General features: G+C 37.6%; 2 long non-coding RNA genes across 2 annotated transcripts in view, besides 1 other annotated feature; one reads left to right on the plus strand and one right to left on the minus strand.

The window, feature by feature from the left end:
- On the minus strand, nt 1–23467 carry LINC01949 (long intergenic non-protein coding RNA 1949). The gene is made up of 3 exons (NR_130914.1): nt 23332–23467; nt 23081–23247; nt 1–2595 (listed from the first exon to the last, which is right to left on the minus strand). It is a non-coding gene; the product is annotated as a long intergenic non-protein coding RNA 1949 (long non-coding RNA).
- The window catches only part of LOC101929380 (uncharacterized), a 127874-nt gene that overhangs the window by 95587 nt on the left and 4718 nt on the right, over nt 1–27569 (plus strand). The window lies entirely within an intron of this gene.
- Nucleotides 15345–15714: an enhancer, noted in NCBI's record as "active region_22751". NCBI's record gives its function as "activates an Ori minimal core promoter by ATAC-STARR-seq in GM12878 lymphoblastoid cells {active_cell/tissue: GM12878}" and the evidence as "EXISTENCE:reporter gene assay evidence [ECO:0000049][PMID:35858748]".

Here is a 27569-nt window from a genome sequence, read left to right on the forward strand (position 1 = left end):
CCATTTGCTTGGTAAATATTCCTCCATCCCTTTATTTTGAGCCTATGTGTGTCTTTGCACGTGAGATGGGTCTCCTGAATACAGCACAATGATGGATTTTGACTCTATCCAATTTGCCAGTCTGTGTCTTTTAATTGTGGCATTTAGCCCGTTTGCATTTAAGGTTAATATTGTTATGTGTTAATCTGATCCTGTCATTATGATGCTAGTTGGTTATTTTGCCTGTTAGTTGATGCAGTTTCTTCATAGTGTCGGTGGTCTTTATAGTTTGTTATGTTTTTGCAGTGGCTGGTACTGGTTTTTCCTTTATGTGTTTAGTGCTGCCTTCTGGAGCTCTTGTAAGGCAGGCCTGGTGGTGACAAAATCGCTCAGCATTTGCTTGTCTCTCAGGATTTTATTTCTTCTTTGCTAATGAAGCTTAGTTTGGCTGGATATGAAATTCTGGGCTGAAAATTCTTTTCTTTAAGAATGTTAAATATTGGCCCCCCACTCTATTCTGGCTTGTAGGGTTTCAGCAGACAAATCTGCTATTAGTTTAATGGGCTTCCCTTTGTGAGTAAACCGACCTTTCTCTCTGGCTGCCCTTAACATTTTTTTCTTCATTTCATCCTTGGTGAATCTGATGATTATGTGTCTTGGGGTTGCTCTTCTCGAGGAGTATCTTTGTGGTGTTCTCTGTATTTACTGATTTGAATATTGGCCTGTCTTGCTAGGTTGGGGAAGTTCTCCTGGATAATATCCTAAGAGTGTTTTCAAACTTGGTTCTATTCTCCCCAGCACTTTCAGGTACATCAATTAAACATAGGTTTGGTCTTTTCACATAGTCCCATATTTCTTGGAGGCTTTGTTCGTTCCTTTTCATTCTTTTTTTCTCTAATCTTGACGTCACACTTTATGTCATTAAGTTGATCTTCAATCTCTGATATCCTTTCTTCTGCTTGATCGATTCAGCTATTGATACTTCTGTATGCTTCACGAAGGTCTCGTGCTGTGTTTTTCAGCTCCATCAGATCATTTATGTTCTTCTCTAAAGTGGTTATTCTAGTTAGCAATTCCTCCAGCCTTTTTTCATTTTTAGCTTCCTTGCATTGGGTTAGAACATGCTCCTTTAGCTCAGAGGAGTTTGTTATTACCCACCTTCTGAAGCCTCCTTCTGTAAATTCGTCAAACTCATTCTCCATCCAGTTTTGTTCTCTTGCTGGCAAGGAGTTGTGATCCTTTGCAGGAGAAAAGGTGTTCTGGTTTTTGGAATTTTCAGCCTTTTTGCACTGGTTTTTCCTCATCTTCATGGATTTATCTACCTTTGGTCTTTGATGCTGGTGACCTTCGGATGGGGTTTTTGTGTGGATGTCCTTTTTGTTGATGTTGACGCTATTCCTTTCTGTTTGTTAGTTTTCCTTATAACAGTCAGGCCCCTCTGCTGCAGGTCTGCTGGAGTTTGTTGGAGATCCACTCCAGACCCTGTTTACCTGGGTATCACCAGCGCAGGCTACAGAACAGCACAGATTGCTGCCTGTTCCTTCCTCTGGAAGCTTCGTCTCAGACGGGCACCCACCAGATGTCTGTTGACCCCTGCTGGAAGGTCTCTCCCACTCCGGAGGCACAGGGGTCAGGGACCCACTTGAGGAGGCAGTCTGTCCCTTAGCAGAACTTGAGCACTGTGCTGGGAGATCTGCTGCTCTCTTCAGAGCCAGCAGGCAGGAACGTTTAAGTGTCCTGAAGCTGTGCCCACAGCTGCCCCTTCCCCCAGGTGCTCTGTCCCAGGGAGATGGGAGTTTTATCTATAAGTCCCTGACTGGGGCTGCTGCCTTTGTTTCAGAGATGCCCTGCTCAGAGAGGAGGAATCTAGAGAGACACTCTTGCTACAGCAACTTTGCCGAGCTGCAGTGGGCTCCACCCAGTTCAAACTTCCCAGCAGCTTTGTTTACACTGTGAGGGGGAAACTGCCTAATCAAGCCTCAGTAATGGCAGACGCCCCTCCCTGCACCAAGCTCAAGCATTCCAGGTGGACATCAGACTGCTGTGCTGGCAGCGAGAATTTCAACCCAGTGGGTCTTAGCTTGTTGGGCTCCGTGGGGGTGGGATCTGCTGAGCTAGACCACTTGGCTCCCTGGCTTCAGTGCCCCTTTCCAGGGGAGTGAACAGTTCTGTCTCGCTGGCATTCTAGGGGCTACTAGGGTATGAAAAAAACTCCTGCTGCTAGCTCAGTGTCTGCCCAAATGGCTGCCCAGTTTTTTGCTTGAAACCCAGGGCCCTGGTGGTGCAGGCACCCAAGGGAATCTCCTGGTCTGTGGGTTGCAAAGACCGTGGGGAAAGCATAGTATCTGTGCCGGAATGCCCCGTTCCTCACGGCACAGTCCCTCACAGCTTCCCTTGGCTAGGGGAGGGAGTTCCCTGACCCCTTGCGCTTCCCGGGTGAGGCAACACCCCACCCTGCTTCTGCTTGCCTTCTGTGGGCTGCACCCACTGTCTAACCAGTCCCAATGAGATGAGCTGGGTACTTTAGTTGGAAATGCAGAAATTATCTCCTTCTGCGTTGATCTCGCTGGGAGCTGCAGAGCAGAGCTGTTCCTATTCAGCCATCTTTCCAGACACCTCAAGAAAAATTTTATATCACTACCGCAAATAGAAAAACCAAATTATTTGCCATGAATGGAAAGTAACAGTAAATATAAACACGACAGAGTAAAAATAATAAAACATGGTAATATATTCTAGTAGTATATTTCCTGATGAAAACTTTTTACAGGGGTCTGCTCTACCTTGGCAAAATGAAAAATTAGAGAAATTTAGAGACAACACCAAACTGAGAGGTCCTCCTTGAGATAATCACAAAGATTAAATGTTGTTTAGGAGGAAATAACTTTGTCGTTATGTGATTCAATGCTAATTAATGCCATATCCATGAACATGAAATCATGTCTCATGCTTCCTAATGTTATCTCAGGTATTGCCAGTGGTGACACATTTCTGGAAACACTGCTCAGTGGTATCACATGGAGTAGTAAACTGAGTCATACAACATTTTACTGGTAGTTATATTTAAATTTCTATTAAAAATGTTTTTGGCTGGGCGCAGTGGCTCATGCCTGTAATCCCAGCACTTTGGGAGGCCCAGGCAGGCGGATCACGAAGTAAGGAGATCGAGACCATCTTGGCTAACACGGTGAAACCCTGTCTCTATTAAAAATACAAAAAATAAAATTAGCTGGGCGTGGTGGCAGGCGCCTTGTAGTCCCAGCTACTTGGGAGGCTGAGGCAGGAGAATGGCGTGAACCCAGGAGGCTGAGCATGCAGTGAGCCGAGATCACGCCACTGCACTCCAACTGGGTGACAGAGCAAGACTCCACCTCAAAAAAAAAAGTTTTTAATTTTAAATTTCATAGGAAATGCTGATTGAATTTCAAGTCTAAAAAACCAGATTAATTACTTGATTTGAATAATTTAGTGCTAATTTAAAAGTCTTTTAATTACAACCCGAGATGAATTTAGGAATCAAAGCCATCTGACTTGTGATTATCCGTATCTTTTGTTAGGAGTTAGGTCTTATATTAATTGATTTTTGTCTTTCAAAGCATCTAGCATTGGTGACCCATGTCCAGGGATCTCATTGTGGTGGGGTGATGATTACTGACCAGGCTATGATCAGGTATAGAAAAACATTCACACTCTATGCTCTCAGGGTCTGGCCTCTGCTTGGCTCCATGTTGTACAGCTGAGAGTAGTGCAAGCTCTTCAATGATGAGATAGAATAAAAATATGTCTCAACAACTGAATTATCTGATTACCCAAAATGATTTCATATGGAAAAATAATTACTACATATAGAGGACATTTCATTTCAGTGACTTGAAGGATACTGAATTATTTGAAATTATGGACTAGACACCCTGCTATGGTCTAATATATCCCCCTAAATTCATGTTGGAAACTTAATCCCCAATCTAGCAGTATTAGGAGGTGGGGCTTTGGGGGAAGTATTTATGTCATAAGGGTTTCACCGTTATGAATGGATGAATGCCATTATAAAGGGGTTTGATGGAGGAAATTCATCCTTCTTGTGCCCTAAGCCTTCTACGATGTTAAGATACAGAAAGAAGACCCTCACTAGATACCAGTGCCTTAATCATGAACTTCGTAGCCTCCAGAATAGTGAGAATTAAATCTCTATTCTTTGTAAATTATTGTTTCCAGTATTATGTTACAGTAACACAAAACAAAGACACACTCTAATACTAACCCTTGACTGATTACTAAATTGCAGAAATCAGCTCTTTGGTTCAACATGTAATCAAGCCAACCCTGGAAGACATTGCCTTCTACCTCCAGGGCCAACACTGGTCAACCTTTCCCCACCTCATGCCTGCCTTCTACCCTTGTGGGTTAGTGAGTGTCTCCCTACCAAAAAAAAATAATAATAATAAGCCGAATGAGTTAAGCATATAGAAGCCTGATTATACTATGAAGAGCATTTACCTTTGAGTCAGAGACTCAAGTTTGAATAGTTACTTAACTTCACTGCTTAACAGCTATGAAGCCTGGGCGAAATCACTCAACACAGCCTGTTTCCTCTCTAAGAAATAAGGGATAATCATACTTTATTTATGAATTGTTATGAGAGTTCAATTGAGTTAACATTTCAGGTTAGTTGGATTTGACTAAATATTGGTTTAATTCATTTGTTCACTGATTAAAATTTTAATCATTCTCTAAAGTTCTTTCTTCTCTATTCTCTCACAATAATACTGTAAATAGCTCTGCTAAACTTGAGCTCTAAAAAGTACTTTTAAAAAATAAAGCATACAGTTAGGTTTAAATATTTTATGATTTAAAGAACAGGAGGAACTAAACTGATGAAACCCATTTTTCAATTTTTTTTTTTTTTTTTTTTTCTTGAGACGGAGTCTTGCCCTGTCACCCAGGTTGGAGTGCAGTGGCGCAATCTCGGCTCACTGCAACCTTCACCTCCCGGGTTCAAGCGATTCTCCTGCCTCAGCCTCCCGAGTAGCTGGGATTACAGGTGCCCACCACAATGCCTGGCTAAATTTAAATTTGTGTTTTTTGTTTTTGTTTTTTTGAGACAGAGTCTTGCTCTGTCGTTCAGGCTAGAATGCAGTGGCGTGATCTCGGCTCACTGCAACCTCCGCCTCCCAGGTTCAAGCGATTCTCCTGCCTCAGTCTCCCTGTAGGTGGGGTTACAGGTGCCCGCCATCGCGCCTGGATAATTTTTGTATTTTTAGTAGAGATGGGGTTTCCCCATCTTGGCCAGGCTGGTCTCAAACTCCTGACGTCATGATCCACCGAACTCGGCCTCCCAAAGTGCTGGGATTATAGGTGTGAGCCACCGCGCCTGGCCTAATTGTTGTATTTTTAGAAGAGACGGAGTTTCACCATGTTGGCCAAGCTGGTCTCAAACTCCTGACCTCAAGTGATCCACCAGCCTCGGCCTCCCAAAGTGCTGGGATTACAGGCATGAGCCACCATGCCCAGAATCCAGATTTTTTGAAGTAATTTTTCTTGAGCTTTGAGAAAATATGATTTATGAGCAATAAACCAATAAAAAGGCTATGCAAAAGTAGATGATGTTTCAAAATACTTTTAAGCTAGACTTAAGTACTTAATAAAATAGCTGAATTTATTCTTATATATAATATAAATCTCAGCAAACTGAATCTTTTCAATAAGAAAAGTAAAGGAAATATAGACTATTCCTAGCATAGTTCAGCTTAGTTGCTGGTTTGGAGAGATAGAAAAGAGTGCTTTAGGCCGGGCGGGGTGGCTCACGCCTGTAATCCCAGAACTTTGGAAGGCTGAGGCGGGTGGATCATGAGGTCAGGAGTTTGAGACCAGCCTGGCCAACATGGTGAAACCCCATCTCTACTAAAAATACAAAAATTAGCTGGGTATGGTAGCAGGTACCTGTAATCCCAGCCACTCAGGAGGCTGAGGCAGGAGAATAGCTTGAACCCGGGAGGCAGAGGTTGCAGTGAGCCGAGATCAAGCCACTGCACTACAGCCTGGGACAGGGCAAGACTCCATCTCAAAAAAAAAAAAAAAAACTGGAAAAAGAAAGAAAAGAGTGCTTTAGGATTAGGATGTTGTTTGAATGTTTTATATATATATAGTGTGTGTGTGTGTGTGTGTGTGTCTGTATAAAATGGACCAAGCAATAAAGAACTTTTAGCCAAGTATACTTTTAAAACCAAGTAAAATTTAATGTCATAACTTAAGTTATATTATAGGTGTTATTCCTAATATTTGGTTTTCAGGCTGTTTTCAGAATAAAACAGGGAAAGATCAAGAAATCGGCCAGTGTCTCTTCTTTCTGTGTAAACAGGTCTTTGTAGATAACCGTGTTTATCAGAGTCTGATTTTACTTTTCTCTTTGTACTAAATCTTCTGTTTAAAAAGTCTTAAACCACCTCTGTGTTTGTTTGAATTCCAAAGTTGAATAAATATAGCTGTTATGCGTAAATAACCAAAGGAGTGTTTCTCAAATTGTGTTGTCATGATTGTTTTCATTAGAATCAGCTGGAATGACTGTTAAAAGGGTAATTTCCTGGGCTCCACCACCCCAGTGCTACTGTAATAGAATAATGACCCTCAAATATGTCCACATCCTAATCCCCAAAACCACAGCCTATGTTGTGTTACCTGGCAAAGGAGAATTAAAGTTGTGGATGGAATAAAGATTGCTAATCGGCTGGCCTTAAAATAGGGAGATTAAAGCTGGGCACAGTGGCTCACACCTGCAATCCCAACCCTTTGGGATGCGGAGGCAGGAAGATCACTGGAGCCTAGGAGTTAGAGACCAGCATGGGCAACATTGTGAGACCCTTCTACAAAAAATAACTAAATAAATTAAGGAGATTCACCTAGGTTATCCAGATGGATCCAATGTAATCAGAAGGGTCCTTAAAGTAGAATAGGAGGCAGAAGAGGAGAAACAGTCAGAGGAAAGTGTGGCTACAGAAGAAAGGCACAGAGATGCCATGTGGTGGCTTTCAAGGAGAACGAGACCCATGAGCCAAAGAATGTGGGTGCCCTCTGGAAGCAAGAAAAGCGGTTCTCCTCTAGAGCCTTCAGAAAGGAACACAGCATTCCTGACACCGTGATTTTAACCCAATGAGACCCGTTCGAACTTCTAACTACAGAAATGTAAGGTAATAAATTTGTGTTATTTAAGCCACTAAGTTTCTGGTAATTCATTAAAACAGCAATAAGAAACTAAAAATATGCATCAAATCAAAATCTCTGAATATAAGATCAAGGAATGTGCCTTCTTATCAATTTCCCGGGTGAATCTTTTGTACTCTAACATTGGAAAACAACTGGTCTCGAGCAGTTTAAAAAAAAATTGAAGATATTTTAAAGGAAAGATAAATTTCTTACCTTTATAATGTAGGCAAAAAAAAAAAAAAAAGAGGGACAAGATAGTCAGGCTTCTGTTTGGAAGACCTACAAAGCTGGGAAAGTTAAGAAATAGTTAAATACGTTAACTTCTTCAGTGATGTATACTGAACACTGAACACTCCTTACAATGATTATTAAATTTTACAGTATAAGATATAGGTTCTTTATTCTTTATTCAAGTACTATAGGATCTAAAAGAGAGAAAAATTAATGTCAGCTGGAATACATTAATGATAGTTGGAAAAAGTGGATTTTCAATGGTAAGTGGAATTGAACACAAATGAAGTTTTAGTGAAGAAATATTTACAAAAGCAAAGATACCATGTAAAACCTAAAATGGTGCATTTTTGAAGGACCATGAAGCTAACCTGATTAACACGCGAAGCCATGAGGAGTTATGAGAAGTCAGTGGCTATCCTAGGAAATTCTGGAAAGTAAAGTTGGATGGTTAGTATGGACACTGATTATAGAAAGCTTTATAAGGCAAAGATTTTTGCCTAAACTATGGACAAATTGTTATTGAATAGAATCCTGTTGGGTGTTTTTAAACATGGTTACCTGATAAAAAAGCAGTCTGTAAGAAAAACTGGTCTTGTGGTACTATGTACAATAAATAAAGGAATGAACTAAAGTGACCACTTAGTCAGGATGCTTTAGGGTAACTTATGCTTACAGTGCCTAGGGCTAGATTTTTTTTTTTTTTTTAGACGGAGTCTTGCTTGTCACTGAGGCTGGAGTGCAGTGGCATGATCTCAGCTCACTGCAACCTCTGCCACCCAGGCTCACGTGATTCTCCTCTCTCAGCCTCCCGAGTAGCTGGGATTACAGGCGCATGCCACCACGCCTGGTTAATTTTTTGTATTTTTAGTAGAGACAGGGTTTCACCATGTTGGCCAGGCTGGTGTCGAACTCCTGACCTCACATGATCCACCTGCCTCAGTCTCCCAAAGTCCTGGGATTACAGGCATGAGCCACTTCACCCACCCTACATTTTTTTTTAATGACAGACGCTATATTAGAGGTGAAGATATCAATAACTCATATTTAGCTTAATATAAATACAAATGGATACATGTAGAAATAGGGATTTCTATATGTATCCATGGAATAGTGTACATATATATATTTTCTTTTTCATTTGAGAGGGCCTAAAAGAAACTATACCCCAATACCAATGGGCACACCCAGTGCCCAAATCTTGATTGCAGAGACAATTCTCCAATAAAAGGAAACAGCAATCCTTGGAGAAATAATTGAGTCAAAACTGTGGCAATATGGTAGAATAATGTCCTTTCTCATCAAGAGGTCCACATTCTAATCCCCAGAAACTCTGAATATGTCATGTTAAATGGCAAAGAGGAATTAAGATAGCAGATAGATTATTATTATTATTTATTTATTTAGAGAAAGGGTCTCACTTTGATGCTCAGGCTTGTCTCAAATTCCTGGCTTCATATAATCCTCCTGCCTTGGCCTCCCAAAGTGTTAGGATTACAGATGTGAGCCAACATACCCAGCTCTAGCAGACAGATTGTAAGTTGCTAATCGGCTAGTTCTAATAGAGGGAAATTATTGTGGATTTTTTTTAGGTGGGTCAATATAATCACAAGAGTCCTTAAGTGTAGAAGAGGGAGGCAGAAAAGGATAACCAGAGAGATGGCAGCATGAGAAAGAATCAACTTGATATTGCTGGCTTTGAAAATGGAAGAATGGAGGCCATGTTGGTGGCTCACACCTGTAATCCCAGCACTTTGGGAAGCCAAAGTGGGAGGATTGCTTGAGCCCAGGAGTTCAAGATCAATCTAGACAACATGGTGAAATCAAAAAAACAAAACAAAACAAAAAACTAGCTAGGCATGGTGGCATGCACCTGTATTCCCGGCTACTCGGGAGGCTGAGTGGGGAGGATAGTTTGAGCCCAGGAAGTCACGGCTGCAGTGAGCCGAGATTGCACCACTGCACTCCAGCCTGGGTGACAGAGCAAGACTCTGGAAAAAAAATATATATATATATATGAAAGGAAAGGAGAAAGAAAGGAAAATGGAGGAATGGGACCATGATCCAAGGATGTTAGAAGGCTCTAGAAGATGGAAAAGGTAAAAAAACAAAATTTCCCTTTCAGCCTCCAGAAAGAATGCAGCCCTTTGTATACCTCAATTTTAGCCCAGTGAGACCCATTTTGGAATTCTTACCATCAGAATAACAAGATAATGAATTTGTGTTGTTTTAATCTACTAAGTTTATGGTAACTTGTTACAATAACAATAGGAAACCAATACAGACAGGAAATATACAAGATGACCCTAGAGCATCTTATAGTGCCAGGATGTAAGGAAATGTTTAAAAGAAAAAAAAATGAGGTATGTCAAAGGAACATAGGAGCTGAGTGAAAGAGCTTCCAATGGCTAGAGCTGGAACAATTTGAGGAATGAAGTAAATAACAGCATTGTATTATAACTCAAAGTATAATATAAATATCCCTGAGTTCACACTGATAAAAATAAATAATTGAATAAATAGGCAAGAATAGACCAATTTCTATGTAAAAATTCAAGTAATTCCTAAAGAAACTCTGTTCTCAAAGAGGGGAGCATAACTACCCACTTCTTAAGTGTGGGCTGCATATAATAGCTTCCTTCCAAAGAATACAGTACAGAAAGGGAGAAAGAGAATAACTTTACGATGGAGAAATCTAACAAACACCACCTCAGCCAGGTAATCAAGGTTAACATTAGCAACAATAATCATGTTGACAGCATGCACTCCTGATACATGATGAGAATGGCACTTTATCTCTGTAGTCTTTCTCCCCAAAACTTATAACCCCAGTATAGTCATAAGAAAAACTACATACAAACCCACTGAAAGACATTCTAAAAAATACCTAACCAGTACTCCTTAAAACTCTAAAGGTCATCTATAACAAAGAAAATCTGGGAAACTATCACAGCCAAAAGAAGCTTAAGAAGACATTACAACTAAATGCAATGTAATATCCTGGGTAAGATTATGAAATAGAAAAGAAATTAGGTAAAAACCAAGGAGGTATGAATGAAGTATGAACTTTAGTTAATAATAATGCATCAGTGTTGTTTGATTAGTTCTGCCAGATATACCATACTAATGTTAAGATGCTAATAACAGGAAAAACTGCATGAAGGATAAAAGAGATTTCTCTATTCTCTTTGCAATTTTCGGTAAATATAAATCCCTTAAATAAAAAAGTTTATTTTTAAAATGACAGAAATATTCTAGAGGAAGAAACATTTTATGCAAGATTTTAAAGGAAATAATAACTGGGTTAGTGATTAATTAGATAAAGCAGATGAAAACTAATGAATGAGTCATAGATTATGCCAAAGTTTTAGGCCTCTATTGTCAGGAGAATGTAATGCAGTGACAAAGAGAAAGCTTGCTGGTGGTTGGGCAAATAAGTTTGGGACACAACAAATTTGAGACAAAAATGGATAATCCAAGTGTAAACATAATCAGCAGTTGGTGATAAAGAATTGGATGTTGGGTGAACGTTTGTAAATGGAAATGTGGATGTAGATTTAGTCAATCAGTAAACATATATGGAATCACTACTTAAAGAGCTCTGTGTGGAGTAGGGAAAGGAAATGTATACTAAAATGCAAACCAAGGCATATGTCTATATAAAAATAACAAAAAACCGTGAATGTGCTTAAATAAGAACTATCTAAGAGTTCAGTAGACAGAGGCTCCTCCATGCACACTTTGTCTGTGTGAGTGAAATCAGTAATGAAAAGATGATGATGTGTCCCCCCAAAATTCATATGCTGAGGCCTTAATTCCCAATATTGCTGTATCTGGAGGTGGGGCCTCTAAGAAGTAATTAAAGTTAGATGAGGTAAGGAGTATGGAGTCGTAATCTTCTAAGATTAGTGTCTTCATAAGAAGAGACACCAGAAACCCCCCTTCCCCTTCCCTCACTGCAAGGTGCACACACCAAGAAAAAAGGCCGTGAGGTATATGGAGAATGTAGCCAGGAAGGGAGACCTCCCCAGACACCAAAATGGCCAGAACCTTGATCTTGGAATTTCCAGCTTCCAGACTGAGAGAAAATTAATTTATGTTGTTTAAGCCACCCAGCCTGTGGTATTTTGTTTTTGCATCCTGACTGCCTAATACAGATGGTTACCAGAGGGTAAACTGAAAAAATGTGAATAGTGAGAGCATAAAGTAAGACAAGGAAAAAGAAGCCTTCTTTTGTTTGTTCATAAATATTCAAAATTTATCTTGTGCCAGACATTGTACTAGATCCCAAGGTTAGGATAATGAACATGATACAATCTCTACCTGCATAGAACTTACATTTTTGGCATGTCACAAACAAGAAATAATAGAAAAGCCAAATACAGATCATGAGAAGTGGTATGAATGAAGATGAAAGAAGGAAGACGAAATAAAGAATAATTATATTCAGTGCAAGTGGGTCTTGAGCAGTCAATTAAGAACTCTGAGGAGATAGTATTTAGGCTGAGACCTGAAGGATGAAAATGAGCTAGCTATGCAAAAATACTTAAGAGCTTTGCAGACAAAGAGAACAGGAAGTGCAAATGCCTTGGCATCAGAAAGCACCTTGGGAATTTGAAAAACAGAAGAGAGGCCAATTGGATTGCCATAAAATAATTAAGGGAGAATATAAAGGGTAGAAGGTAACATTGTATAGGTATACAGGAGCCACATCATCCAGACAGGCCATTGTAAGAAGAATGGACATATTCTAAGGACAATGAGAAACCACTGAATTAATCTAAGAAAAAAATGATTCCTGATTCATGTTTCTAAGTGATTACTGATTGCTATGTGAAGACAAATTTTTTTTGGAGAAGGGCAAGAGAAGAAGCAAAGAAATCTATTTCACATAGTACAGAAAGAGATTGTAGTGAATTAATTTTGAATGGTGGTATGTAGATAGAGGGAAGTGGTAAAACCTGAGATATTTTTTGGTGGTAGAAAAAAATGAACTGGATGATGAATTGGATGTAGGGAATTGCAGAAAGAGAAAAATTAAAGCTGATACCTGAGTGTTATTTTAGAAAATGGATGAATAAGGGTGCCATATACTGAGATGAGAGAGAGTTGCAAATAACTAGGTTTGTGAAGAAAGTCAAAAGCTCAGTTTGGGTCATTGGGCTAGAAATTAATTTTGAAAACCATGAGTGTATACAGTACAAGTTACTTAAATCCATGAGACTAAATAAGATCACTTAGGGAGAAAGCTCTGATAGAATTGAAAAGAGACTAGCTCTGAGGCTTGGCAAAGAGAGAAGGAGTAACAGTGAGGTAAGAGGAAAACCAGGACGATGATGTCACAGAGCCAAGGGAAGAAAGGCTTTAAGGAGAGTGTTTTGCTGGGTCTAATGCTGCCAAGGCATCAAATGAGGTAGGAAGAGAGGAGTTGGGTTTGGCAATGCAGAGACTGTGGGAGACCTTGACAAAGGTCCACCTCACTGCAGAGGTGGAAACAGAAGCTACATTAGAATGGGGTGAATAATTAATTGGAAGAAAGAAAGTGGTGATAGTGAACATTGATAACATGTTTAAGATGTTAAATAGAAGAATTAAAAGTAATAGGGCAGTATCCAGAAAATAAGATGGAATCAACAGAAGTGTGTTTACTTTTTTTTTTTTTTAACATGGGGCATGTCAGATACGTTAATAGGTATGATCTAACAGAAAGGGTGAGAGTGATGCTGCTAGATAGAGGAGCAGAGGAGCAAATACTCCTAGTCCATGACAAGCAAGAGGGGATTAAATCCAGAGAAAAATAGGAAGATTTGCATTTGATAATGGCAGAGATATTTCCTTCACTGTAACAAAAAGGACAAAGTTTCTGTTTGGTTAGATTTCGTGTGGGAAGATGAGGGAGTTTACCTTCAATGTTTTCTATTTTCTTTTCCCTTTTCTTTCTTTTTTTTCTTCTGCTTCTTCTTTTTTTTTTTTTTTTTTTTTTTTTTTTTTTTTTTTTTTGAGACAAGGTATCACTTTGCTGCACAGGTTGAAGTACAGTGGTACAGTCATGGCTCACTGTAGCCTTCACAAACCCAGTCATTTGGACTCCTAGGTTCAGGCAATCCTCCTGCCTCAGCCTCCAGAGTAGCTGGGACTATAGGCATGCTTCACCATGCCTGGCTAATTTTTTTTTTTTTAAATAGGGACATGATCATGCTATGTTGACCAGGCAGGTCTGGAACTCCTAGGCTCAAGCAATCTTCCCACTTTAGCCTCCCAAAATGCTGGGATCACAGGCTTGAGTCACTGTGCCCAGCGGATACCTTCTGTTTTCTCAGTTAAGCAGGGAAGGTGTGTGAAGGGTGAAGTGCAGGTTTTCAACTGTCATCTGAGAAAGTCAAAAGCAAATCTGCTAGAAAAACATACAAGAATGGTAGGCAGTATTGAATGGCTAGTTGAAGTTTTTGTGATGAATTTCAAGTGTTATCAGTCACCCTAGTATTTTCTACCAATGTTAAGCTACTGAAGTTCAAACAAGGAAAACAGTAGTTTGCAGATTACAATAGGGCTAAAGAACTGCAGCAATGGAAGACTCAGGTAAATGAATTAGAAGAACAGGAGGTGATGGTCATAAAGTAGGATGCTTCAAATAAAGAATTACCAGGTGGTTTCATTAGTGGTGATAAGTTCCAGTGGTCTTGTGATAGGTGGCAAAGGTGGGATAGAGGAAAACATTGAAAGAGGAGAGGTCAAGGAATAGAGAAGCTAAAGTTCAGAGTGTTTCTTCTACATGGTTCTTGGAATCACTAAGAACAATGACAGGAATGAAGATGTACAGGAAGGCAGTGAGTCAGTAGTTGAAGTATTAAGTGAATGAAGAGAAATGATTAGGAAGGTAGATAGGAATTACCGCCAAGAAGTCATGGGTAGTAAAACCGGATAGGAAAACACAGAGTACTTGATCAGCTAAGATTGGAAGGATATTGTCCTAAAGACAATGTATCATGGCTCTTTATATATATATATTTGTTTATATTTATATATAATATATGATATATATTTATATATAATACATATTTATATATAAATATGTATTTTAAATATATTTATTTATATTATATATATCATATATATTCAGTTACATACATATGTGACTATGAATAACTCTACAATGTGTTTTCATTTTTTAATCATATGCTCTTATCAATCAAGGATTCTGAGCATATAATATTTATAAATCACAAATATGCTACTCTGCAGATAGTTATTACAAAAGAAATTTTATAGGATTAAATATATACATCAAATAAACTAAGCCTAATATTTCAAACATCTTTACTCTCACTAGAAAATTATTAATCATTTTATAATTGAAAATACTTTATTTTTAAAAACCTTGATTTAAACTTTGGAATCAAGTGATTTGAAAGTCCGGTACTAAGTTTAGTTTACATCAGTACATGATTTTAATGATTTTCCTAACTGAAAAAGAAACCTCACAAAAACATTTGTGTGCAAATGAAATGTATCTCTGGCTGTGTTTACCAAATTCTGATACTCATTTTTTAATCCTACTTAGCAACTATACAAAAGTTTTCATAACTTTCATATAATAAATATCAATTTATCCTGATGTCACTAAACTTTTCTATAAACTAATAAAAAGTTATAATATTCTTATGTAATAAATGAATTTAAAACTCACTGAATTCTTTATGTGAAAGATTTAGAATAAATTAGAAAAATCTTGTTAGGCATGCTGATAAGGGGATTTTAAAGAAGCTGTAATAATTTTTAGCTGTATCACTTAAAAATGGAAAATTTTTCAGTTTATATTCAAAATGCCCTTTTCATAGCACAAATTTCTTTCAAAAACAAGATACTTTTTAATAATTGCTAAAATACTATTTTTTTTATCTGTGAGAGATTAAATATAAGGACTGTTTTTGTTGTTTGAGACAGGATCTGGCTCTGTTGCCCAGGCAACAGTTGTGCAGTGATACAATCTTGGCTCACTGAAACCTCTACCTCTTGGGCTCAGGCAATCTTCCCACGGCTCACTGAAACCTCTACCTCTTGGGCTCAGGCAATCTTCCCACGGCTCACTGAAACCTCTACCTCTTGGGCTCAGGCAATCTTCCCACCTCAGTTTCCTAAGCAGCTGGGACTACAGGCGTGCACCACCACACCTGGCTAGTTTTTATATTTTTGGTAGAGATGAGGTTTCGCCACATTACCCAGGCTGATCTCAAACTCCCAAGCTCAAAGGATCCACCCGCCTGAATCTCCCAAAATGCTGGGATTACAGGTGTAAGCCACTGTGCCTGGCCAAGGTTTTTTGTTGTTGTTGTTGTTTGGTTTGTTTGTTTGTTTTTCTTTCTATAAAGCTGCTTGGTAAAATACATACTTAGAACAATTGGGTTTTTTGTGTGTGATGGAAAATGACTCACACATCTTGGCCTCACTAGTCTTTGGGGACTCTGTGTACTTATTCCAACAGCCATTGCAGCAACATACAGGTATGTGTGACTTGTGTGACTTCACAAGGTACAAACTGCTAGCACCTCTCCTCCCATCCTGGGATTCTCTTTTAATGCTAAGGCATAAGATGCCACCACATGATTCCTTGGCATTCACATATGTACAAGTCCAAAATGTGGGAGAATCAAAGCTCCATGGGGTGAAACTTTGTATTAGTTAGGGTTTTCCAGAGAAACAGGACTATTAGGTTGGTGTAAAAGTAATTGCGGTTTTTGCCATTACTTTTAGTGGTAAAACCACAATTACTTTTGCACCAACCTATAATAGGGGTGTGTGTGTGCATGTGTGTACACATAAAGAGAGATGTATTATAAGAAATTAGTAAGAAATTAGCTCATGAGATTATGCTAAGATGTCCTATGTTCTGCCATTTACCTGGAGACCCAGGAAAGCCATTGTGGTATTGTGAAATATATATCTGGTCTTCTTCCCTGTTTCCTGGCATACAGATACTAAAACCCTTAGAATTTCAGAAATGATGGATTATCTTTTGTATGTTAATGAGATAACCAGTAGGTGTGGAACCCTAGATAGCTTCAGGATGGGAGCTGGTTGCCAGAAAGACCAAGACATAATTAGAGGATTGAGACTTTCAGCCCTAACCTATGGAGAAGGGAGAGGGGCTGAAGATTGAGTTGGCCATCAACAATGGCCAATGATATAATCAATCATGCCTATGCAATGAAGCCACCATAAAAACTCAAAAAGGCAGAGTTTGGAACAGCTTCTGGGTAGCTGAACATGTGAAAGTTTCTGGAAAGTAATGTGCCAGTGAGAGCATGAAAGCTCCATGTCCCTTCTTCCATACTTTAATCTATACACTTTTCCATCTGGTTGTTCATCTGTATTTTTTATAATGTCCTTCATAATAAGTGGGTAAATGTAAGTGTCTCCCTGAGTTATGTGAGAACCTCTAGTAAGTTAACAGAAACTGAGAAGGAGAGTCATGGGAACCCTGATTTATGGCTGCTCTGTCGGAAGCACAGGCCACAACCTGGGGCTTGCAGTTGGCATCTGAAGTGGAGGACACTCTTGGGGGACTGAGCACTCAACCTGTGGGGTCTGATGTTATCTCCAGGTACACAGTGTTAGGATTGAATTGAACTACACGACACCCAGCTTGTGTCTGCTGGAGGAGTGCTTGCTTGGTGTGTGGAGAGATAACCTCACACATCTGGCCTCTGAAGTGTTGGATTGAGTATGTTAGTACAGAGTCTGAAAAACATTTGGGTTTGTTTTTCCCATGTATTATAGCCAGAAATGTAGTTCTGGAAAGCTGATGGTGCCAATTTCAGGGTAGGTCTGAAGACCTGAGAACCAGGAGCACTCAGGGAAAAGATTGATGCCTCAGCTCAAGCAGTCACACAGAGAGCAAATTCAACCTTCCTCTACCTTTTTGTTCTATTCAGGCCCTCAACAGACTGCATGATGCCCATCCACACTGGGAAGAACAATCTGCTTTACTTGATCTACTGATTTAAATGCTAATCTCTTCTAGAAATAACTTCACAGGCACCTCTAATAATGTTTTACCATGTATCTGGACATCCGGTATCCCAGTTAGGTTGACACATAAAATTAATAATCACAAGTTTTGGCCAAGAGAAGAAGGCCAGAAGATTATTACTTCCCCATTTCTCCTCCCAAGGGACTCTCCTGGGAAGATGAAGTCACTTATAAAGCCTCTAAGAAGATGGCCACATGAGACTGAGCCATGGCATTTGACACTAGTAGCGGCATTCTGGTTAATGCAGCTTTGTATTGGCTCTCTCTCTCATTTCTTGCCACATTCTTGTTTTGCTTCATCCTGGGCCTAAGGATTGCATTACAGATGAGGATATAACATATAATCCTTCCCCTCAGTCTCTAAACCCAAGTTAATAGAAATACTTTTTCCTGAGGTAAAGAATGAACCCCTTATTGTATAAAATATGCTCATGGTAACACCTCCTCAAATTACAAAGTATTTCAGGTAACATAGGAGATATACAGCAGGTCCTCCTGGTATATGATTCAATGTCATTTTGTTACAATGTTGATGAGAAAAAAAATGTATTCCTGGCTGAGGTCACTATCTGTGTAGAGTCTGCCTGCGTGTTCTCCCCATGTCTGTGTGGGTTTTCTCTGGGTACTCTGGTTCCTTCCCACATCCCAGTGATGTGCACATTAGGTTAATTGGCACATCTAAATTGTCCTGGTCTGAGTGAGCGTGGATGTGAACGTGCTCTGCGATGGGATGGTGTCCTCTCCAGGGCTGGTTCCTGCCTTGAGCACTGAGCTGCCAGGAAAGGCTCCAGCTACCGGCAACCCTGAACTGGAATAAGCAGGTAAATAATTATCTTACTTGTTTTTATTAACTTTAAATGTATGTGTAGCTCACATTTATTTCAATGTTTATTATTAGAAGTGTTTTGGTCTTTATTTAGAAGTTTGGTGGGTTTTGTGACCAGAAATATGCTATAGATACTTAACTTTGGTTTATATTTATCCTATGGTAAAATCGGTTTTGCTGTACACTGTTTTGGTTCAAGTCAGTTTCCAAGAACCTACTGACAATGTTAGTGAGGACGTACTATAATCATCTGATCCATTTAACCAAGTACATTTAATTGCAATATGTGGTAACATAATTTTACATAAATGTGGTGCCAGTGTAAAATCTTCCAGTGTAAATCCTGTGTGGGATTTGTTTCTTAGGCATACCTTACATATTGTATATAAAATGGGACCATCAGACAAAAAAGCCTGATTTTGTCAGTATCAATTAATATATTAAACACAAGTAAAGCTTAATATCTCTGTCTCTCTACCTAGCTATATTTAGAATTGACTTGCATGCCTTCTTGGGAGTATACATCCCCATTTTGGAGACAGGTGTTCTAGAAGCTTCACAGTCAATGCCTATATGGCAACAATTCCCTCCGTAGTAGTGGTGAAGTCATGAGACATCAATGTCCTACATGAAAGAGATAGTTATAGCCCAATAGATGGGGAAAATAATATAAATTTAGAGAACTAATTTTAATCACCTCCTAGGAAGATAGAGTGCAAAGCTTTTTGAAGCAAAGACCCCTCTCTCACAGTATGTGTTAATTTCTTATTCAGCATTTAGGTGTAAATTGTTCATTTTGAAATAAATTGTTCTATCAAATGACCTGGGTATCATCTACCACTAATTTTATCTTTTAAGTATAGCTATTAATCATAAGCTTTAATTCAAAATATTTAGCACTATACATGTTTTTATCAGAGATCTATTTAAATTTTACTTACTCTATGCAAAGGTGTAAGAATGATACAATGGAATTTGGGGACTCAGGGGAAAGAGTGGGAGGGGAGTGAGGAGACTACACATTGGATACAGTGTACACTGCTCAGGTGATGGGTGCACCAAAATCTCAGAAATCACCACTAAAGAACTTGTTCATGTAACCAAACACCACCTGTTCCCCCAAAACCTATTGAGATAAAATTTAAAAATTATACTTCCTGCAACAGATATGAGTTATCTCCAACCTAAATCATTTCCATTTTAGCATTTAAACTGAAGTTTTCTGTTTTACAAAAAGTAGGACTGTTATTGTACAAATTTTAATTTCCTTAATTATGTATAAAATATATTTTTAAAACAGTAGAATTAATATATCTTTAATTCATAATACTTTTCACAGATATTTGGGGAAGTTTCTTTCAGGAAACAGCCAAAATTCTAACTGCCACATATTGGCTAATAGTCGAAAAATCATAGTTTGAGTAAATACTGTTGTTTGAGGTTATAATTTAAATGCCAGTTATAAATAAGTGTATTAAAAACTTCAATGTCTAATTTGAAACAATTGTATATAAAAAGATCACATTTCAACCACAATCTCCAATTAGAAGATATATTGTGTAGATCTTTTTTTATAATTCTACACAAAAATACAACAAAAAAGAAAACTACAGGCTAATATCCCTGATGAACATAGATGCAAAAAATCTCAACAATATATTAGAAAACTGAATCTACCAACATATCAAAAAGATTATACATGATCGAGTTGGATTTTTATTGTCATTTTTTTAGATGGGGTCTTAATATGTTCCCCAAGTTGGTCTCTTACTATGTTCCCTAAGTTGGTCTCAAACTCCTGGGCTCAAGCAATCCTCCCACGTCAGGAGTGGGAGGATTGTTGCAACTACACATATTGCATCTACAGGCATGTGCCACTGAGCCTGGCTTCAAGTTCAAGTGGGATTTATCCCAAGGATGCAAGGATGGTTCAAAACATGCAAGTCAATAATCGTGATATATCACATCAACAGAATGAAGAATTAAAAAAATGATCATTTCAATAGATGCAGAAAAAGCATTTCATAATATTCAATATCACTTAATGATAAAAACTTTCAACAAATTAGGCATAGAAGGAAAGCACCTCAACACAATAAAAGCCATATATGACAAACCCACAGCTAACATACTGAATGGGGAAAAGATGGAAGCTTTTCCTCTAAAAACTGGAATAAGACAAGGATGCCCACTTTCACTACTCTTATTCAACATAGTATTGAAGTCTTAATTAGATCACTTAGGCAAGAGAAAGAAATAAAAGCCATTCAGACTGGAAAGGAAGAAGTCAAACTGTCCCTGTTTGCGGATAACATGATCTTATATATAGATAATGCTAAAGATGACCAAAAAACTCTTAGAGCTGATAAACAAATTCGGTAAAGCTGCAAAATACAAAATCAGCGTACAAAAATCAGTAGCATTTCCATTTATAATTATACCTACCCAAAAAAGTCTAGGAATAAATTTAATAAAGGGGGTGAAATATCTCTAAAATGAAAACTACAAAACACTGATGAAAAAATTAAGAGGACACAAAAAATGAAAAGTCATCCTATATTTATGGATTGCAAGAATTAATATTTTTAAAATTACCATGCCATCCAAGGTAATCTACATATTCAATCCAATTCCTATCAAAATACCAATAACATTCTTCACAAAAATAGAAAAAAAACCCTAAAATCCAAACAGCCAAAGCAATCCTAAGCAAAAACAAAAACAAACAAACAAACAAAAACAAAGCTGGCAGCATCACACTACCTGACTTCAAAATATACGACAAAGCTATGGTAACTACATGGCATGATATTGCATAAAAATAGACGCATAGACATAGAGAACCTAGAAATCACATACTTATAAAATTGTGCTTCTGCTCTTTAAGAAGAAATGTGGATAGATATGTTATGGGTAACCAATAGTGACTGCCACAGTGGTTGTATAAATTCCTGCTCCTGTAGAAGTGTGTGTGTTTGTGTTTGTATGTGTTTTACTTGCTAATATAAGGTTTTGTTTTTCAGTCATTTTGGAAGTTTGTTGTATGTTATAGGTAAACTCTGGTTCACATTCACATTTTCATGATAAATGGTTAAGCATTTTTTCCATATATTTATGGCCATCTGAGTCTCCTCTTCTGTGAACTATGTTTATGTTTTTGTTCTCTTTTGATATTTCTTATCTACCTGAGGAGCTCTTTATAGTCTAGATATGAATTATTTTGTAAGATGTATGCATCACAGATATTTTCTCCCAGTCTGTGTGCTATGGACTGAATGTTTGTGTCCCCAAAAAACTCCTATGTTGAAATCCAATCCTCCCACCCCCATCCTGCCTTCCAAAGTGATAGTATTTGGATCTGAGGCCATTGGAAAGTGATTATATCATGAGGGTGAATCCCTCATAAATAGGATTAGTGCTCTTGTAAAAAGTACTCCAGAGAGCCATCTTGTTTTTCTGCCATGTGAGGACATAGTGAGAAGATGGTGGTCTATAAACTAGAAAGTGGGCTCTCTTTGACTGGGACTGCTCAGCCTCCAGAAACTATGAGAAATAAATGTTGTTTAAGCCACTCAGTCTATGGTATTTTTTTATACAGCCAGAATGGACTAAGACACTGTAACTTATCTCTTAATTGTATTTTGGTGTCTTTTACGGAACACATGTTTTATTTAATGTTATAAAAAAAATGCATTTTGTCGTTTATGCCATTGCATCTAGCTTAAGAAAGCTTTCCTTACTGGAAGTCATAAATTCTCCTATCTTTTTCTAAAAGTCTTAAAGTTTTGCTCTTTGTATTTAAGTTTCTTTCATCTGAAGTATATTCCATGTAAATAGAGTGAGGCAGAGATCTTTCTGACTTTTTCCCATGTGACTAACCAATTATCCCGGCATTATTTGTTATTTTTTTATTTTACTCCTGAATTTTAATGTCACACTTGTCATACACCAAGTTATCAAATATGTGAATCTGTTCTGAGTTTTGTTTTGTTGGTCTATTAATTTTATTTCTGACACAATAATACAGTTGTATAATTACAACATTAGAATATCAATATCTGGTAAAGTAATATCAGTGAAACTGATTTATGAATTGCATGTAAAAATTTTAAGGCCACCATGTCAATGTAATTAGCACTGGCCTACAGATAACCTATTGATTTGACCACTTTGCTCTTGTATGTAGAAACTTTGCTTAACTCTCCTATTCCAGTTCTTCAGCTGTACAATTATTGGATTTTCTATAAAAAAAAATATTCAAATAATCAATATTTGATCTTCCCTAATCCATATAACTGGTTATTTCTTTCTTATTTCATTGGTTAGGAACTCCAGAGCAATGATGATTATTGGTGGAGATAATAAGTATTAATGCTTGTTCCTAATGTTAATGGGAATTTTATAACTCTCATACATTATTTCTAGGATAAATCATATTTGATCATAATGCATTTTTTAAAATGCTTGATTCAATTTGTCAACATCTTATGATACTTGCATGTACTCATAAGGAAGATTAACCTATAATTTTTCTTTCTCTTATTTTTCTAGTTCAGCTAACTAGAATATATTAACTTCATGAGAGAAACTACAGAATTTTCCTCTTTTTCTGTATTTTGTAGCATTTTGTGCTAAAGAGATTTTTCTGTGCTTTGAATGTTTGTTGGTAATCCCTGTGTAAAATTTTCTAGACTTACTGTTATTTATTTTGGGTAGGTTTTTGCTTACTAATTCAATTTTTCCAAAGGCTTTCTCCTCAGACATAGATTTACTCTTGAGTCAATTTTGGTAATTTAAATTTTTAGTGATGCCCACCTGCAAAGGGCCAGGTCTGGCATACAGTTTGAAATTTGCTGCCAGAGTCCCATTTTGCAATCCCGAACTTCTGGTGGAGACTGGGGTGTCCATGGCCCACTACCCAGTGGCGAGTAAACTCTTTGCTCCCAGACTGTTGCAAGAAGCTTAAAGGATGGCCTCCAGATCTGGAACAATTATGTTCTCATATTAATAAAAAGATTAACAATATTTTTAAAAATCTGTCATTGAGAAACTGGCCAAGAACCTACCTTGAAGAATATCTTAATAGGAGATGAGATCACTGTAAGAAATGAACTTCTAAATAAATTTGAATAGGAAATTCAGTATTAAGAACAAACCAACAATTCACTCAAGGAACTCTGTAAATCTCTTGAAGAATATTATAAAATGTGGAATATCTCAAAGAAAACTTTCCTTCCCATGTGCCTCAAATAACAGGTCTCAAACTCCTAGCCTCAATCAGTCCTCCCACCTCAGCCTCCCAAAGTGCTGGGATTACAGGTGTGAGCCACTGTCCCCAGCCATAATTTATTTATATTTTATTTCTTTAGCTTTTTCATCTTCTATCCTGTTTCATATAAAATTCAAACTTTTTTGGATAAATTTTTTAATCAAATGCTTCCGTTTAAGTTAGTTTTAGCATTTATTTTTATAAAATTTTAGCATGTAATTTTAAAATAATTTTTTATATTTTAAGATCATACCTGTCCATGTGACTCCAATTCAGCTGTAAAAGATCTGAGAAATATTTGATCTGTTGTCCAGGAAGAAAAGGAGAGGAGGAACATTCTTCTATCATTTCACTCTTACCTGTATATGAAGAATATACTTACCTCCCCCGAAGGAGGACAATCTGAAGTCCCTTCTAGTTAGTGCATTCAGCTCAAAGCCCAAGACATTCAAGAAATGTGTCATCTTCTCCAATACGTGAATGTTTGAATTCTCCTGAAATAAAATCCCATGAACTGAAGAAATATCCTGTCTTTACCACCACTCCCATATACACCTACATGTGAGGGTGCATGCATGCACATGAACACACACACATCTAATATACAAAATGAATCAAGGACAGAAGTAGCTATAATAGGAATCTGATTAGTAAGGGTAGGAATGGAAGGCAAGCAACAGTAACCAGTGCATATAGATCTTAAACAACAGATCGCCAAACACACTGCAGAATGATAAGAGGGTCTGAAATGTAATACATCAAGTGTTAATGTGCCAGACCTAGAAGTGGCAAATGTCACTTGGACATATTCCACTGGCTAAAACTCAGTTACATAGGCCCAGTAAAATGATAAAAAGCCTATGTAAGTTTTGGTTGTATGCCAAAAAAGAAGAGGACAAAATGGATATTGATGTGCACTAACAGTCTGTGTCATCATGGTGACATGATCCTTCTATCATGAAGTAATCAACCTCTTTAGAGAAAAATCATTATTAGACTTAAAGTTGTTTTCTAATATCAATATTACTGTCAGATCTATTTTGGTCCGGTTCCTGGTGTACAGTTTTTCAACCTATGACAGTAAGTTCTCAACGTTGTTGATAGGGTCTTGGAAACTTCAACTTCAAGTGAGATGCCATGTAACAAAACCAGTTTTACTATAGGCTAATTAATATAAACAAGAATTAGTTCCTATGGCATATTTGTATCACAAAAACATCAACAAATTTCTAAGTGAAGACTTGAAACACTTCTAATGTTGAATATTGATATAAATGTAAGCTATACATACATTTAAGAAAAATCAACAAAAATAAGTAAGCAATTTGTCCAATTTTTGGTGAATCAGTGAGTGACAGCCGTCATCCTGGTGGTAGGTTAAATCAAGAAATAAATGTTTGTAAAGTGAAAATTGTCAGGAGTACCTCCTACCAACACACAGTTCAAAAACAAACAATATTCAATAAGGCAGACTCTCTAAGCACTTTCATACAACATTTCTTATTATTTTGCATTTGTATGATTATCAAATACTTTATATTTTATCTTATAATAATTTGTATTCATTTATTCTTTCATTTTCCAACCCACTTACTCCAGTTCAGGTTACAGGAGGCCAAAGCCCATTCAGCAGTTCAGGATACAAGGTGGGAAGCAACCCTGGCCATGACACCATCCCAACACAGGGCACACTCATACATATACCCACACTCACCTTGACTGAGATCGCTGACACATGCCCACCCACCTGAAATACACATCTTCAGGATGTGGGAAGAAACTGGAGTACCTGGAGAAAATCCACACAGACATGGGGAAAAGGTGCAAATTTCACAAAGACATTAGCCTCAACCATGAATTAATTTTTTTTCCCATCAACATTATAACAAAGTAACATTATCTGAGCACCTGATATAATTTCAGTCTTTTGAGATTATTACTATTATGAGACAAAATCTCACTTTGTAGCCCTGGGTAGAATGTAGTGGTGCAACCTCGGCTCACCGCAACTTTCATCTCTGGGTTCAAGTGATTCTCATGCCTCAGCCTCCAGAGTAGCTGGGATTACAGGTGTGTGCCACCATGCTTGGCCAATTTTTGTATTTTTAGTAGAGATGGGGTCTTACCATGTTAGCCAGGCTGATCTCGAACTATTGAGCTCAAGCTATTCACCCGCTTCAGCCTCCCAAACTGCTGCGACTACAGGCAAGAGCCACTGCGCCCAGCCTCTTGAGATTATTATATTTTGGGTGTGATTCTTTAAAAAAGCATATAGCCTAAACTTAGTTTTTTTAATCCAATCTGGGAATCTCTGTATTTTTCAGGTGAATTTAATCCATTTTCAGTTTTACAAGTTTGATACTAGAAAAGAGTTATTTTCAAAGAGCAAAACTATCATTCAAGATGTATTGTGAAATAAACATTTCTCAGAATAAGACAGAATGTACCACTTGCAGACCCTCTTTAAAATAACTGCTGAAGTATGCAGAATGCAAAAAGCAATGTCTGTAAAAAATAATACTTGGTGAACATGTTGATAAATCTTATTAAATACCGTGAAAAAAGATGAATTTGGGGGTTCTTAATGACAACTTGAAATATGGTACAATTAAAGATAGGAGTGGGATGTTAAACTTAAAATATTTCAGGGTACTTGAGTTTGAAACGAACTAAATAGAAATATTGATGGGAGATGTGTGCTACAGAGACAGACTTAGCAACTATCAATAAAAGAGAAGAAAATCACAGAAATGTTTTTGGATGAAGTGCTTTCCCCAGCAGGGAAGTGAATCTAACTAATCCTAGGTAATGTAATGAAGTAGGCAAATGACTCTTCTACAGGCTCTTGCCTGTAATCCCAGCACTTTGGGAAGCTGAAGAGGGTGAAAAGAACCAAAATGTACAATGTCTCAAACACAATAAAAGTTTGTTTTTCTTACACATGAACAGACCAACATAACTCTAAGTTAGTGGGTGAAGCTGGAGGTGATTCTGCTCCACACAATCATTTGGGGACCCAATCTGAAGGAGGTTTTATCTACCACAGATAACTTCCAGGGTCACTCTAAACAAAAACATTCAGCCAATGAAAAGGAGAAGAGCATGTCTGAACATGTTGTGCCTTTTCTCAGTGAATAATGTCAAGGGGCACATGATATCAATGTGTCTCAAGGGTAACATAATCAGTACTGAGATGTATCAATCATGTGTCTTCTACTATGACACACTGAGAAAGACAGAAAGACTGCTGTCCTAGTCTTGCAAAAAATGCCTAAACCGAATGTGATTATGAGGAAACATCAAACACATACTGAGGGACATTCTTCAAAATACCTGACCATCTGCTGTCAGTGAGTACAAGAAAAAACAAAAACGAACCTGACCAGTTATCTTTAAAAGTATCAAAGTTATGGAAGACAGGGAACTGAAAGTCAAGGAAAGACTGAGGAACTCTTACAGATTGGAAGAGACCAAGGAGACACGACACCTAAATGCAATGTGTGGATCAGATAAAAACATTAGGGAAATAAATAATGAAATTTGAATGAGATCTATAAATTAGTTAATATTTTCTCAATATTTCCTGCTTGATACTTGCTGTGTGGTAAGATGCTAAGACTAGTTTGATGAAGTAAATATAGGAATTCTGTGTCATACTTAGTAACTTTTTTCTAATCTTGAACTTTTTTCAAAATGAAAAGCTTTTTAAAGAAATGAATAAGCAAATAAAGTCCCATCATGTTCCCATGTATATGAAAAGCTGTTACCAGAAATAAAAAAGATTGTGAAGTCCACTTAATAGGTGCCACTACCCTTCCTGTTCTTCATTCTGTACCTAAAGTATCATATTAGCCACATCTGAATGAATTTATTTATAACTAGGATGGCCCCTACCCTTTTTGGAGTGTAAATAATACACTTCAGAGTGTAAATGTTTAACCCACTTTCTGCTATGTCAGGCCTCAAGATTACAAATCTAACTTCTTTCATAACAATTCCAGTTGTGCTTCTAATATTCCCCTTAGATCCATTAGT

The sequence above is a fragment of the Homo sapiens genome, chromosome 5 (assembly GCF_000001405.40).
Source record: "Homo sapiens chromosome 5, GRCh38.p14 Primary Assembly".
In the NCBI taxonomy this organism is placed as follows: Eukaryota; Metazoa; Chordata; class Mammalia; order Primates; family Hominidae; genus Homo; species Homo sapiens.